We start from the raw sequence: 15,341 nt of genomic DNA on the forward strand, positions 1-15,341 counted from the left end.
TCATGGTGGATAAGCTTTTTGATGTGCTGCTGGATTCGTTTTGCCAGTATTTTATTGAGGATTTTTGCATCAATGTTCATCAATGAAAATCAATATATATCATAACAGCTCTGTAAATGTTTCTCTGAGTTCTGTGAGCCATCCTAGGAACTTAATTGAACCCAGGGAGGGGGCTCATGCGAACCCTTTTTTTTTTTTTTTTTTTTTTTGAGATGGGGTCTCATTCTGTCTCCCAGGCTGGAGTGCAGTTGCAGGATCTCAACTCACTGCAACCTCTGCCTCCCAGGTTCAAGCGATTCTCCTGCCTTAGCCTCCCTGGTAGCTGGGCTTATAGGAGCCCGCCACCACACCCAGCTAATTTTTGTATTTTATTTCATTTATTTATTTTTTTGAGATGGAGCATCGCTCTCTCACCCAGGCTGGAGTGCAGTGACATGATCTCTGCTCACTGCAAGCTCCACCTCATGGGTTCAGGCCATTCTCCTGCCTCAGCCTTCCAAGTAGCTGGGACTACAGGCGTCCGCCACCATGCCTGGCTAATTTTTATTTGTATTTTTAGTAGAGATGGGGTTTCACCGTGTTAGCCAGGATGGTCTTGATCTGACCTCGTGATCCGCCTGCCCCGGCCTCCCAAAGTGCTGGGATTACTGGTGTGAGCCACCGTGCCCAGTTTAATTTTTGTATTTTTAATAGAGACGGGGTTTCACCATGTTGGCCAGGCTGGTCTCAAACCCCTGATCTCAAGTGATCCACCCGCCTTGGTCTCCCAAAGTGCTGGGATTACAGGCGTGAACCACCATGACCGGCCGTGGATGTAGTTTTTAGCCAGGCAGTCAGAAGTATGCGTCGCCTGGACTTGGAATTAGTGCCTGAAGTGGGGCTGGTCTCATGGGATCGAGCCGTCAATCTGTGGGATTGGACACTATCTGCAGGTAGACAGTGTCAGGATTGAATTGAATAAGAGGACACCCAGTTGGTCTCTGTGAGAAATGTTTGGTGTGTAAGGAAAAGCCCCCACACAGCCAGCCACAGAAGTGTGCTATTGTTGAGTGTGAGAGTACAAGGGAAAAACAGTTTGCTTTTTTGCTTTACAGTGGGATATTTGATCCATAGGTCTATATCTAAGCACATGAATAGAATGTGTTTGGGCCTGGTTTTTTAGTCTTGCTGGTCAGTAACTAGTTTGACAAGAGAGACTAGCACACTGATCCCAAAAGAACTAGGCCAAGAGCAGATAGGATTTGTGGAAACTTGAACCTCTTATTAGCTCCTTAAAAGACGTACTTTTCTAGACTTCTTTGGAGCCTGGGATTCTAGTACTGGTGAGTTTCCACCGGCAGCAGACTCCCTGAAGATTTGCTAGCCCTCTGCAGGGTTGGCAGGCCACTACCACATTTAGTTGGCTCCTAGGGTATGTTCCACACCAGACTTCCCATTGTGGGAAGGCCAAGAGAACTGAAGAGACAGTCTCTACTCTGGAGGTGGGGAAGTGGGGGAGGTGGTAATTTAATTAACAGTAGGTGGTGGGTGAGGCGACTTGGTAAGGTAAGAGGACACACAAAGGAAGTAACTGCAGTAAACCTTAGCTGGCAGCACAAGTGAGGAGGTGTGCTTGAAAGAGAAATGGAGTGTCTGGAAGTGGGTGAGTATATTCTGGTAGGTGTGACAAAGGCACTGTTCCTCCAACACCAGTCCTGGGAAAGGCATATGATATGGTTTGGCGCTGTGTCCCCAGCCAAATCTCATGATGAATTATGAGCTTCAGTGTTGGAGGAGGGGCCTGGTGGGAGGTGACTGGATCATGGGGGTGAATTTCCCCCTTGTTGTTCTCGTGCTAGTGAGTTCTGAGATCTGGTTGTTTAAAAGTGTGTGGCACTGCCCCTTCACTCTCTCTCCTGCCGCCATGTGAATATGTACTTGCTTCCCCTTTGCCTTCCCCATGATTGTAAGTTTCCTGAGGCCTCCCCAGCCATGCCTCTTGTATAGCCTGCAAAACTGAGTCAATTAAACCTTGTTTCTTTATAAACTATCCACTCTCAAGTAGTTCTTTACAGCAGTGTGAGAACAGACTAATACAACATGGGATCCCAAGTAACTATGCATTCAGAGAAGAAACACAGGTATGTTTGGGAACTGGATGATGGAAGGTACAGGGAAGCACTGTAGGTAACTTTCATGGGTCCTACACTCTACAACATATTCTTGGGGTTGGAATGAGTCAAACAGGAGACTGATGTCCAGGATGGAATTGGCTGTTTATGTTCCCAGGTGTAGGTCTCTTCCTTAACAGATCACGGTAGCTTCATTACAAATGGCCTGGGAAGCGTACATAATGCAGAAACCCCAGCAAATTCTTACAGGGGTTAGTCATGCAGTTATACATTTTCATTCTGGGATTTCTAGGGGCTTAATAAAATTCCTTCATTGGATCATTTAATCCAACATAAATTATTTCCCTACACCTACTTTATACTTGCTCCCTGATTTCATACCAGTGAGTATAGCCTGATGTAACTAAACATTCTGAATTTTCAGTGATACCCAGAGAAGAGTGTGATAACCAATTCTCTCAAAAGCGATTTACTGCAAATATTTTCATTTACAGTAAGTCCTTACTTAACATTGTGGATATGTTCTTGGAAACAGTGACTTTAAGCCAAACGAGGTACTGTGTGGCTTCATAACTCAACTCTTTTTCCTATCAATTAGACTATGGGAAAACTGGTTTCGTATGCATTATGTCCTTTTGCTTAAAGTGGTAGTTTCCAAGAACCTATCAATGACATTAAGTGAGGACTTATTGTAATCTGATATCTGCGGGTGGATAATTTAAGGAACACATGCATAGTTAAGCCTGTAAACTGCTGCAAGTTCCAGATATTATCAGTTCTATTTCTCCACAATTACAATTCCAGTTTTGGGGTTTCTTTTTGCTCATTAAATTTGAAAAGCCAATTCCAGTTTTAAAGCTTGACCCTTTTCTTATAACTTTTTTTATAACTGATAATATATCAGTTATATCAGTTATATTTCTTAGGCTTCCCACGAAACCCTCAAACTGACTCTGAGGGTGGCCTTGCTATCTAATTTACAAAACCGGTTATCTTGGTTTGTGTTCATTTTATTTCCCTTGCATACATTGCTTAGCTGCTTCTGATTATATGCCTCTTAGCCGCGGCTGGATAGAAAAGTGTAATAAGAGAAAAGTGTAACTAAGAGACACAGAAGAAAGAGAAATTCCATGAGCACCAGATACTTTTATGGGTGCCTTTTGGAAGCTCTAAATTGAGATGTATCTTTGTTGTCAATTTATGCTATGAATCCAAACGAAAAATGGGGGGAGAAAAACAAATAGGCTGTAGATGAAAGTGGAAGAAGAAAAATGAGTCTATATATATATATATATTAGCAGTTGTATGAAAGTATATGAGTCAATATTCCATCAATACCTAGAAAAATAGTAGATCAATATGCTGATTTTAGGGGTGGACACAAAAGTGTTATAAGTGTCTTTTAACTTTTCTTTTTTCCCTCCTTGACTCTGAAGAGAAACACCATTTTTTCTACGTATGCAAAGAGTAAAAATTCAGAACTAACATGCAGGGATTAATAGCAGTGAATTGCAAACTCAACTCAGTGGTATAGTACCTGGCAACATTATTACTCAGCATATTTCCCTGGCTGAGGCTGACTTCATTTAAAGTAGTTTTATACTTGTGCTAAAAATAAGTGTACATCCCATTAAGGGAGAAAAGATCTTCTACACAATGGATTGGACCTACATAACCTTATGTACCAGAGAAGAAAACATCATTCTCATGAGTCGCAAAGCTTTCTTCTTCTTGTCAATATGATAAACAGTTTCCGTAAATTGAGAATGACGCTGGTTACTTTCCTTCCTCCTGAACATGCCACACTGAAGAGACAGGGATGACTCCTTCCCTATGGGACAGACACACATGTAGCTTTCCCTGGGTTGTGGAGGAAGGCATGGCCACAACACCATTGGCAGTCTGCTGCAGGGACCTCACGATGAGAGGAAGCAATGGATGCCTGGGCCAGGGAAATGCATATTTGGGAGAAAGCAGGAAATTCTGATGTAGAGATAGGGAAGAACCCTGGGGAAAAGGACCCAAGCTGGGCGGGGAGGAGGAAACCACCAGGATCCCAGGATCAGAGACAAAGGACCCAGGGACACAAACAAAGTGAGGCCAGATGGAGAGGGCAGGCTCACGGGGAGAGCAAGCTCACAGGGAGAGCATGAGCCAAACCTGGCTTATTTCACACTCATCAGAGAGACTGCACAGATGGGGCCAAACCAGGGCCCAGGAGCATCGGAGAGAGGAGGGCCATTTCAAAGACTTTTGTAAAATAAGCTCAAAGTTTCTTTGTTTATTTGTGGGTGTGGGAGTGGAAACGTAGGGAAAGTGAAGAAAGTGGGGGAAAAGGGATGGGTGATTTTGTAGGCAAGATGCTCCCTGAGGAGGTCCTGGTGGACCTGCTGTGGGGCGTGGCATTCTGCACACTCTCATATCATGGGGAGCGCATGACTACATTACTGCTTACACATCTCCAAGTGCAGCTTGGGGGGTGAATGTTTAATTGTCTCACTGTAACTGTCTAAATCTCTGGAAAATGTGAAGGGTCATGCATTTGATTTAAACCTATGAGGTCTGAATGAATTCTCCTCCATGCCTAACCGAGTGAAGCAAGTATATAACCAACCATGCATCCCTAAGCAGGGCCGGTATGAAAGGGAGGAAACGCCTCCCCACTGAGCTCGCAAAGAACTTCATCACTGACCTGAATCAGATCCAGCAGGAAATGAAACACTGAGTACATACTTTTACAGTAGAGGGAGGGGGACGGAAAACAAAGTGAGCTGAACTGAAACGTGAGAAAGAACAGAATGGCAGTGAGTCCACGGGGCAGGGCCGCAGCTTTCTTTTTTCATGGCCCTCAGTCCAGTAACCCCACCCGGCATTCGTAGCGGATGACATCATTGATGCCCAAACATGCTCCAGCAATTTCCTGCTTTCCAGAGTCCAGCCGAGCCATGATGTCAGTGGTGCACCTGGGTAAAGATATGGCAGGGCCGGGTCACAGGGAGTGGGGACAAAGGCCAACCCAGTTAAATAAACTGCTGGTCTTCTAGGGCCTGGTCCCTAGGCAGGCTTCCACCATGAGATAGGTATAGCCCAGGCCAATCCCAACAAGAGGAAAAAAAGCATGTACTTGGCCGGGGGCGGTGGCTCACACCTGTAATCCCAGCACGTTGGGAGGTTGAGGCGGGTGAATCACGAGGTCAGGAGTTTGAGACCAGCCTGAACAATGTGGTGAAACCCCGTCTCTACTAAAATTGGAAAAAATTAGCTGGGCGTAGTGGTGGCCACCTGTAATCCCAGCTACTCGGGAAGCTGAGGCAGGAGAATCGCTTGAACCTGGGAGATGGAGGTTGCAGTGAGCCGAGATCACACCACTGCACTCCAGCCCAGGCAACAGAGTAAGACTCTGTCTCAAAAAAAAAAAAAAAAAAAAAAGAATGCACCCATGCAGTGCCTCCTGTCACCCTCTGCCCAGAAAGGGCACAGGGGCCAGGGTGAAAGAGTTACAGGAAGACAGAGGGAAGGAAACCATGCAGACATAACCACATGGGGGCAGGCCCTAAGCTGCTGGGACCTCCACAGTGTATCCCTTTCCTCCAACTGGGAGACGGAAGCACCGATGGTCTTTCTCTACAGTGCCAGGAGCCACCCTGCCCCCAGAGATGCCCTACAATCAATGACTACCATCTAAATGCTTCTGGATAGTTTCATTCCTTGTAGATGATATTCCAAATATTATAATTTGTACTTCTCCACAATTACAATTCCAGTTTTGGGGTTTCTTTTTACTCATTAAATTTGAAAAGCCAATTCCAGTTTTAAAGCTTGACCCTTTTCTTAAAAGTTTAACTTCTCTTTTTATTCAGGCTTCCCACTAAACCCTCAAACTGACTCTGAGGGTGGCCTGACTAATTTACAAAACCGGCCAGGCTGCCTAACCCCTAGATTCCAGCCCAGAGTGTTGCCATAAATTGCTGTCAAGACATGCCTCTATGTCCCATGTTTGCCAGTGAGAAAAGGGTTCATATTCTAAGTTCTTCAAGTCTCTCTCACTGCCTCAATGTGAAGTCAATGGAAAACAGTCAAATACACCAAAAATTAACTTCAAATGGATATCTGCTATGAATTCCAACTTGGTTGGACACCTCTCCAGGCCAACTGTTGTGAAAATGCATTGTTGTTTTAAAAAACACTGTGAGAGATGGCTGGGCGTGGTGGCTTACTTGAGGTCAGGAGTTTGAGAACAGCCCGGCCAATATGGTGAGACCCCAGTCTCTATGAAAAATATAAAAATTGAGCCAGATGTGGTGGCATGCACTTGTAGTCCACGCTACTTGGGAGGCTGAGGTAGGAGTATCACTTGAACCTGGAAGGCGGAGGTTGCAGTGAGCCGAGATCATGCTACTGCACTCCAGCCTGGGTGACAGAGCAATACTCTGTCTCAAAAAAAAAAAAAAAAAAAAAAAAAAAAAAAAGAGAGAGCGAGAGAAAACACTGTGAGAAGAAAGAAGTCAATCACCCCCTCTCCAATGCCCAACACAGTAAGCAAGAAGGGCCCAGGAAAAAATTAACAGGGAAAAACAATCTTGCATTTGCTTAGTGGAATCTGGGGTTTGCACACATTAGTCAGAGCTAGACAAATCATACTGAATACACTTCTTATAGAAACATTCTAGCTCTTATGGCCTTTCCTTGCTGTCCCAACTTTTGAGGTGCGAAAACACAGCAACACAGCCAGGACCGGCCAGGTGATGGCACGGAGCCCGCTCCCACAGGCTGCGTGTGTGTTCTCACTCTCTTGCAACTGGCCTGAGTTAAGCCTTCTCCCCAAGCACTTGCAGTTTATCATCGCCCTATTTACTGTATTTTCATGTTATAAAAGTGATATACACCCAACGTAGTAATTTGATCTATACAAAAAAGAGAAGAAAAAAAGCTACTCATAATATCACTGTCTAATTTAAGGTTTTGGTGTAGTCTTTCTAGTCTTTTTCTATATGGAATGTAATTTACTTCTCAAAAATATCATTTCATATTCTTTGCTTACATATTAGCATTTTTGTCATGAAATTTATGCCAACTGATTAAACAGCCCTTGTAAATTACAGAAACTTAAAGACAATATCAAAACAATGTGACCACAAGACAAAGACCACCTACTACTAAATTATTTTTGGCATGAGATTATTTTTTGAGAAGTTTTATAAACTATTAGGTTTATTGAACACTATAAACTGTAATCCTTGAAAGAATTTTGGAAGCATACGATAACAGGGTAATTTGTAGTAGAATATAGGGTTGGAAAACCTTAAAAAACACTTGCTCATTTCTTCCTATATCAAAGATTTGTATTAGAAAATCTATTTCTTACAAAAAGATGTACTAAGTGGTATTATGTCAGTCAAGCATCTTGTATTATTTTCTAGCTTTCAATAATATGTATAATGTCATAAAAAAGAGGGAAGAATACACAAAATACATATGAAGCTTACTAGGAATGAAGAAAGTTATTTTAGGAAGGAAAAATTGGTTACCATCAAGGAATATGGAAAACACTAGCAATGCATGTAAGAATGACCTCAAAGGTCTTAGACGTCCACGAGCTGGGAATGCTTGTGCTGGGTGCTTCAGTTACAACAGCATGGGGAAGTTAAATAGACTAGTGAAGCTGTTACATCAGTTAATAGTATTTATTATTATTTGTGGTCACCAATGCCAATTAAAACAATAATTAAATAGAACATGATGAAATAATTCAATGGTAGGAAAAAAAAATCTGGCCTACAAGTGAACATGGAAAGTAAAAGTAAATATTTAGAAAGTGAAATCAGGAGTGGAAAAAAGCTCCAGCATCTCACCATGGGGTCTTCCAAAGCCAGCAGTACTGGAGATGTTTATTGTTCAAAGATGGACTTGCTTGGGTTGGGATTCTCCAACTAGAGCCAGAGGGGAGATTCTCTGCTTCCCTTGAGGACACAAAAAGAGAGGCTTTCTTATAAAGCCTGCCACATTCTGTGCCTGTATTGTTTTATTTACTGGAGTCTATCATAAGGCCTGTGAGGAAAGGACTGAATCTCTTTCTCATAGCCGTTGGGCTGATGGCCCTGCGTGCTGTAGGCATTTAATAATTCACTGAGTAAATGAATGAACCCTGCAGGAGATTGGGAGCCTTTCTGATCTTGAGGTCTCAGTTTGGACTATCTTTCTGGAATGGATAGACGAATATGTTTTTCAGCAGCACTCTAATAAGCGCACATTGGGTGACTAAGCAGAAGAGTGATTCGTTTTGCTAGAATTTTCCAACCTGCAGGAGCCAGTCCCCCTGGTGTCCCCATTCCCTGTCCCCTCAGTCATCTCAGCAGGAAATTACTATCCTTTCTCCCACATGGGTGATGAATGTTCAAGGCATTTCAGCACACTGTGGTAAGGCCCAGAATGGGTTCAAGTAAAAGTAAATACCAGTCCTTATTAGGAGATCCTGGCCCCTCTGCTGCATGTGTCCCAGTACACATGCAGCTTCCTGCTCTGTCATAGAAAGCAGCCCTCTAGGGCCACTGCCTCCAGTGAGAGTTTCCTGACCTCCAGGAACTTCTGTAGTCAGGCACCACTCCCTTCCCTCACACCCAACACCCTGTTGTTCCAGATTTTATCACTGTGCACTGATGCTCACTGCGACCCCACATGTGGCCACAGGAGGAACTCGGCTGAGGGCTGAGAAGACCAGATAATGACACAGAGGGCTCACTTCAGGAAACCCAGAGAGCTGCAGCGGCTCCTCCAGGGCCATTCCACGCATTCATTTTCTAACAAGTCATAAGTCAAAGAGTGACATCAGGAGCGGACAGCCTGGTGTCCAGGCATGAGCCATGGCAACAGATTCTGATTTCCCAGAACGGCTTTGGTCTTTACCTGGTGTTGGATATGGTAGTGTTAGCTGGAGTGGGAGGAGATTCACATTGTATATTTGTTTAGTGACTCCAAAGATTTTAAATTATATTGTGTTTTTTATTATTTTATTCCATTTTTTTAGAGACAGAGGTCTCACTCTATCTCCCAGGCTGGAGTGCAATGATATGATCATAGGTCAGTGTAGCCTCAAACTCCTGGGCTCAAGTAATCCTCCCATTTCAGCCTCCTGAGTAGCTGGGACTCCAGGTGTGTACCATGACTCCTGGCTAATTTTGGTTTAAGTAGAGATACAGTCTGGCTATGTTGCCCAGGCTGGTCTTGAACTCCTGGCCTGAAGCAATCCTTCTACCTTGGCTTCCAAAAGTGCTTGGATTGTAAGTGTGAACCACTGTGTGGGCCCTGGTTTTTGTTTAATGGCTATTAAATGCTCAGAAGTGAATTAAGGTTGCAGTTAAATGCACAATTTTTATATCAAACTATTTTCTTTGCTAATTCACTTCTATCTGCGTCTACCAGCTGTAAACTACCTGAAGCAGAGAAAGTTTCTTTAGGTTGGGGCTTCCTGTAGCCCCGAGCTGAGTGTCTTATGCAGCATTGGCCGAGTGAATGAATTTGTTGGGTGAACTGCTGCGGGGTTTAGAGTCCGCAGAGGGTAGGACAGGACAGATCGTGATAGAGGCTAACCTTCTCATCTACTCTACCATTTCATGCTCTGTTTGGGCACCTCCATCACCCCTCACTTCCCCTGATGGTCCAGTCTCTCTGGGCCTGCACTGTCCAGCCACCCTCTTATCCCTAAGCCAAGGCCTTTGCCAACTAAAGCTCAGGAGTAAAGTGGCCATCACTGAGGCCATTCTATGTATGTATGTATGTATGTATTTAGAGATGGAGTCTTGCTCTGTCACCCGGGCTGAAGCACAATGGTGCAGTCTTGGCTTACTGCAACCTCTGCCTCCCAGGTTCAAGCAATTCTCCTGCCTCAGCCTCCCAAGTAGCTGGGATTATAGGTGTCCGCCACCATGCCCAGCAAATTTTTGTATTTTTAGTAGAGATGGGGTTTCACCCTTTTGGCCAGGCAGGTCTCAAACTCCTGACCTTGTGATCCCCCCACCTTGGCCTCCCAAAGTGCTGGGATTACAGGCATGAGCCACTGCACCCGGCTGACTGAGGCCATTCTAAGGAATATACAGCAAGCTCTTCAGTACCCATTTTTGTTAACTGAGGTATAACTAAATGATACACAGGCCCAGCACAGTGGCACAAACCTATAGTCACAGCAACTTGGGAAGCTGAGGTGGGAGGATTGCTTGAGATCAGGAGTTTGAGTCCAGCCTGGGCAACACACGTGTATAGGTCTATGAGTCTGGAAGAATGTATATAGCCATGGAATCACTACCATGTCAAAACATAGGATATTTCCATTATCCCAAAAAGTTCCCTCCTGCCCCTCTGCAGTCAAACACTTCCCTCCCCCAACTCCTGGCAACTGCTGATCTGAACTGTAGACCTGAAAATGTCATTCAGAACCCATTTCATCTGGACCCTTCTCTCTGTGTCAACATTGCTGTGAGCGGTGTCTGTGGGATTTTTCTGGACGTTCTCTGCCATGCCCCTGCTCCTTCCTTCCTGCCTTCTGGAAGGCACCCCTGCCAGGAGTCGGCTGCATTAAAGTGGGTGTTTCAGGGGTGTCTTCCTTTACTCTCTTCTCACTGATTTCCAGCTATCCCTGTGTCTCTTGTTTAATGAGTGCCTTCACCCATATCCTTAAACCCACCAGGGCGACCTTCCTGCCCCTTTCTTTGGAGAGCTGTATCTGTATTTCCAGTGGAGACACAGACTGTTCCTTAGATCCTATTAACCCTCTGAGCTCTCTCTCTTCAAGCCAGGCTCATTTCTGGCTTGGCCAATCTGCCTCCTCCCGTGTCCTTTCCATGACACGGTGATGGCATCACCAGCCAGTCACCAAGCTAGAACAGTCCCTTCACCCGGCCCCTACTGTAGGAGGATACTTTTAGAGTATGTCTGCAATTCACCCCCACTCTCTGTATCTACTTCTGTGGCCAAAGTGCGGACCTTGATTTCCTCTGGCCCCAGCTGAATTAACCCACCTCTCTGGGCCTGGTTCTCTTTTCACTAAACATTCTCCACATTGCTGCCAGAGCTATTTTTCTAAAATACACATCAGACCACATTCTTCTCCTCCTTCTTTAAAAACAAAAAATCAAAAAAATAAAAAACCAAGAAACAAACAAAAAACCCACCCTACCGTGGCTCCTCAGTGTGTAGAGATCAGATTCAAGTTCCGTGAGATGGTCTTCAAGATCCTTGGCCATGTGACCCCGTCCTGCTATCCCAATCCCATTCCCATTCCCATCCCCAGCCTCCCCACCTCATCCAACTCCAGCCACATTGGATCACCCCAGGAGAGGATGTCATGTATTAGTACTCTGGTGCCTTTGAGTCAAAACTCACTGTTTTGCCAGTTCAGAGGTTGAGCCCTTTTTGAAGAATCCCCTCTTCTTCCACAGCCCAGGTAAGTTCTACCCCAGGCATAATGAGCTGTTATCCCCCTGGGATCTGAGGGCATTCAGAATACCAACACAATGCTCTCCAGATACCTCTATGCTATTCAAATCCATGCATCTCACACCTGCTCATCTTAAAATCTCTGTGCCTCACATGCAGGAAGAATTCAAATGATGCTGATTGAAAAAACATTGTGTCCAATATTAGATGAAGCATGTAAATATCAAGGCAAGAATCTGCACTTTTTGTCTGTCTATTGCTTGTTTGCACAATAGAGCCACATGGTTTATTATAAAAAATTATTATAATGTATGCTGTTTAAGCTCAGATCACTTTGCACTAATGATGATGATAATGATGGGTTAGAATTTTTTTTCTTTTCTTGCCATGGGATCTGCCAGGTTTTAAGAATTCTTTTTTATTCTAAACCAAATTCAGGAGCACTCCCAAAGACAAGAAATCAAATTTAGGCCACTGATGGTACCAACGGAAGGCTATCACTGTGTAGCTATACCAAATGAAGCCAATCTTCATGGATTTTAAGCACTTTGATAAGCTTTTATATCTCTGCTCATCTCGTTTACCTCCATAGATAACACAAAATAACAGAATAATCAACCAATAGCAACGTAATCCCATCACAACAACATCAAAAATGAGAATTCATATGATTCAGTAATTTCCTAAGCCAGAACTTCCCACCTGATGTGCTGGGGAAGTGAGAGGGTGAGGACTGCTTTCCCCAGCCCTTAGGGTGACTGGGCAGATCCTGTCTGGTGTGAGCATTCAACCCTACTGATTACATCATTTTGGGTGCTATGTGTGATAAAGGTTGACAACCACTGTCCTAAGCCATTCTACCATTTAAATAGACTGAATTCTCCCAAGTTATGTTCTTACTTGCCTTAGGAAGGAAATTAGTATTATGACTCTAAGGATCCTGAACACATGATCTAAAAAAAGAAAAACCCAAAGCACAATGGCAAAGGTAGGTGAGACAGAGTGTTTAGAAAAATAGCGAATACTGTACTATTAATTACTCCCAATTCTCCCTAATCCATGATTTTTAAAGAGCGGGTGGAGCATAACGATTTGAGGCACTGCGACAATGCAGAATGGGGAGGGATTTTGGAAAATGTGACTCACTCACCGTTCCGACCAAAGGGTAAATGAACCCAGCACCTATGCTGGCCCGGACATCACTGATAGGTAAGATGAAGTCCCTTGGCACACCTTTTTTGTCAGGTTGGTGAGACAGAGAAAGATCGGTCTTTGCCATGCAGATGGGCAAATTTCCAAAACCCTGTAAGAAAGGAAAGAAAATGTGTTCACTGATATAGACGTGAGTCTCCTGTGTTTTTCAATTTGCACTTTATACAGTCTCGGCAGCAATGGTATGCCAGCTCAGATCGAGGCACACGCAGGAGCTGCTTGTTACTACTTGTTCACTGAAGAAGCAAGAAGGTGAGGATAAAAACTCATCTCCATGTGATGACTGTTTAGTAGGTCAGGGGTGACTATTGTTTATTTTGGAGGTTCTCGTTAAGAGAAGGCAGTGTTATGTGCATGTTTGGGAAAAGCATTGCTATTTGCAGGCAAAGCAGCAGCTGTAGAAACCGCTTTCCAAGACTATTAATATCCGGGACCCAGCAAGGTAGTCTGGAGAAAGGCTCTGCGACTAGGCTCTTAGTCATGTTGTTCACTCATTCTGGAGTCAGTCAAGAAGCAAAGGGTTCCTTTGTGTTGGTTTATGAATCATGGTTATTTGATCTGCAACTACATTACAAGAGCTAAGATGAGGTCACTATTTAAGCTTCTTGTTTTTAAGGACAAAAGTCTATGTCTGACCCAGAGTTCCAAAGGTGAAAGAGCAGGAAGTCACATGTGGTGTCTCACAAAAAGCACAGTGTCCTATAAGCCTGTTTCTGATTAAATGGCACACAGTGTTCCTTCAGAGGCTTTGCTAATTCATTGCAACCACATACTTGGCACTAACTTTAAAAAAAATAAAAATAGAGATGGAGGTTTTGCTATGTTGCTCAGAGTGGTCTCAACTCCTGGCTTCAACTGATCCTCTGCCTTGCCCCCACAAAGTGCTGGGATTACAGGTGTGAGCACCGTGCCTGGTTGACACGACTTTTAAGGAGTATTTCCTTGATAGAGATAAAGGGAATGAAATCTTTAGTCAAATTTTCATAAGACTTAGCCTAAAACTATTTGGAAGATCTTAGAGTCTTATCAACTTAGGGAGGACTTGGGCTTGGGGCCATTTTCTTTTTGAAATCTCCACTCTTCTATACTGATAAGAATTTTGCTGAGTGAGAATCACAACTGCCTTTCAGAATGGTGCCAGAATTTTGAATTTCAGACATGGTTAAATATTAAAGTAATTTCTATAGGTTTGCTAATGTAAAAATTTTGTTAGTAGGCATATTAAAAAGAAACAGAAACCAACCAGTATGCTATATACTGTCACCAGATTACTTCATAAAAGAAATAACATTTTAACACTGAAAGGAGAAAAGACTTAATATTACAATAAATGATAGTCTTAAATATCATTATTAAAAACTCGGGGAATAAAAAACAAAGCAACCTCATGAGAATGACCTTATTTTACTTGGTTCATTGCACATGAATGAAAACTTCACCACAATGCCTAGGCACAGAGCAGTGCTTGGGAATCCTTTTTGTAAAGGGTAAGCCAAGAACATCAGGGAAAATTCTAAGAATTTAGAACTTTCTGAGTTCCTATTTTACCAAACCTAGGAGAACAAATACCCTGGCTGGCAATGGTAGCATTTAACAAAATTTCAAATGGGTTTACAAAAAAGAATAAGGAGTTGGAGATTGTTTTTAAAGATAAGGTCAACACTACCAATCATGAAGCTCTTTAGCCAACAGGCTCTTAAAATGTTCTGACTTCTATCTATCTGATTACACCAAAGTAGGAGGGACACTGGAGGCACATGATCCTTTTGGTAAAAGGTGGCTGAGCCTCCTATAATGGAGTTGATTCATCATGACTGTCACTGGACTAGGTGATGACACATGCTGTCAGATCGTAGCCACTTTCCCAGCTGTTTGCCTACTTGCCTTTCTCAGTGGCTAGAGGTAGAAGATGATGGAGCCTTCAACCTCAGTGGACCAGCTCAGTAAAAAGCCAATGAACCGCTTGCATAAGAACAGCAAACATTCCCATCTTTATAGGCTGCACTCCTATCTGCCTACCCTGGCACCTTGCTAGCATTTTTAAGGTAGTAAGAGGCCTGTAAGGAAGAGGAAGCATTGCAATTCATGCAAATCTGACTCCGCAGCTCTACTCCAAAGGATAGTTTCAACGTTCTGGGCTGAGTGGGAGGGATGAAAGATCACACATCACCTACAAACAGGGATACCACCCATATCAGACACATTTATAGTCACAGAAGTAAATGATGCATGGATCAGAGGATACATGCCTCACCATAAAGTTCTAAATATAGTTTACACTCTACCCGAGGATATTGCTTTCATCTTTGTTAACCAGAAAATAGATTAAGCAAAGGTTAGCTGGTGAGACATGTACAAATCCTCAAGTCAAGCTGAGTATTCTGAGAGCCTAAGGTGAATTTTTTCTTTTCCCCTAAAAGTACAACTTTTACCTGCTGAGTGTAACGATCTATTTTGACTTGTGCCTCAGGACAGAGTTCGATATCTTTGGCTCCATAGACAGCCTGGGCAATGGTCCTTATCTTGTCCACAATTGGAAGCTGCAGAAACACAAATTATAAAAAAATTGTGTAAGTTTAATCTGGTTAA

At 43.5% G+C, this 15,341-nt stretch overlaps 1 pseudogene across 1 annotated transcript in view; it reads right to left on the minus strand.

Moving 5' to 3' along the window:
- LOC101928195 (methylenetetrahydrofolate dehydrogenase (NADP+ dependent) 1 like pseudogene) overlaps window positions 1-15,341 on the minus strand; it is a 40,305-nt pseudogene that overhangs the window by 23,438 nt on the left and 1,526 nt on the right. The window contains exons 3-4 of the transcript NR_135597.1: window positions 15,185-15,292; window positions 12,691-12,843 (exon numbers count right to left, since the gene is read on the minus strand). The product of NR_135597.1 is annotated as a methylenetetrahydrofolate dehydrogenase (NADP+ dependent) 1 like pseudogene (transcript). The remainder of the gene's footprint in view (window positions 1-12,690; window positions 12,844-15,184; window positions 15,293-15,341) is intronic.

The sequence above is a fragment of the Homo sapiens genome, chromosome 9, assembly GCF_000001405.40.
Source record: "Homo sapiens chromosome 9, GRCh38.p14 Primary Assembly".
In the NCBI taxonomy this organism is placed as follows: domain Eukaryota; kingdom Metazoa; phylum Chordata; class Mammalia; order Primates; family Hominidae; genus Homo; species Homo sapiens.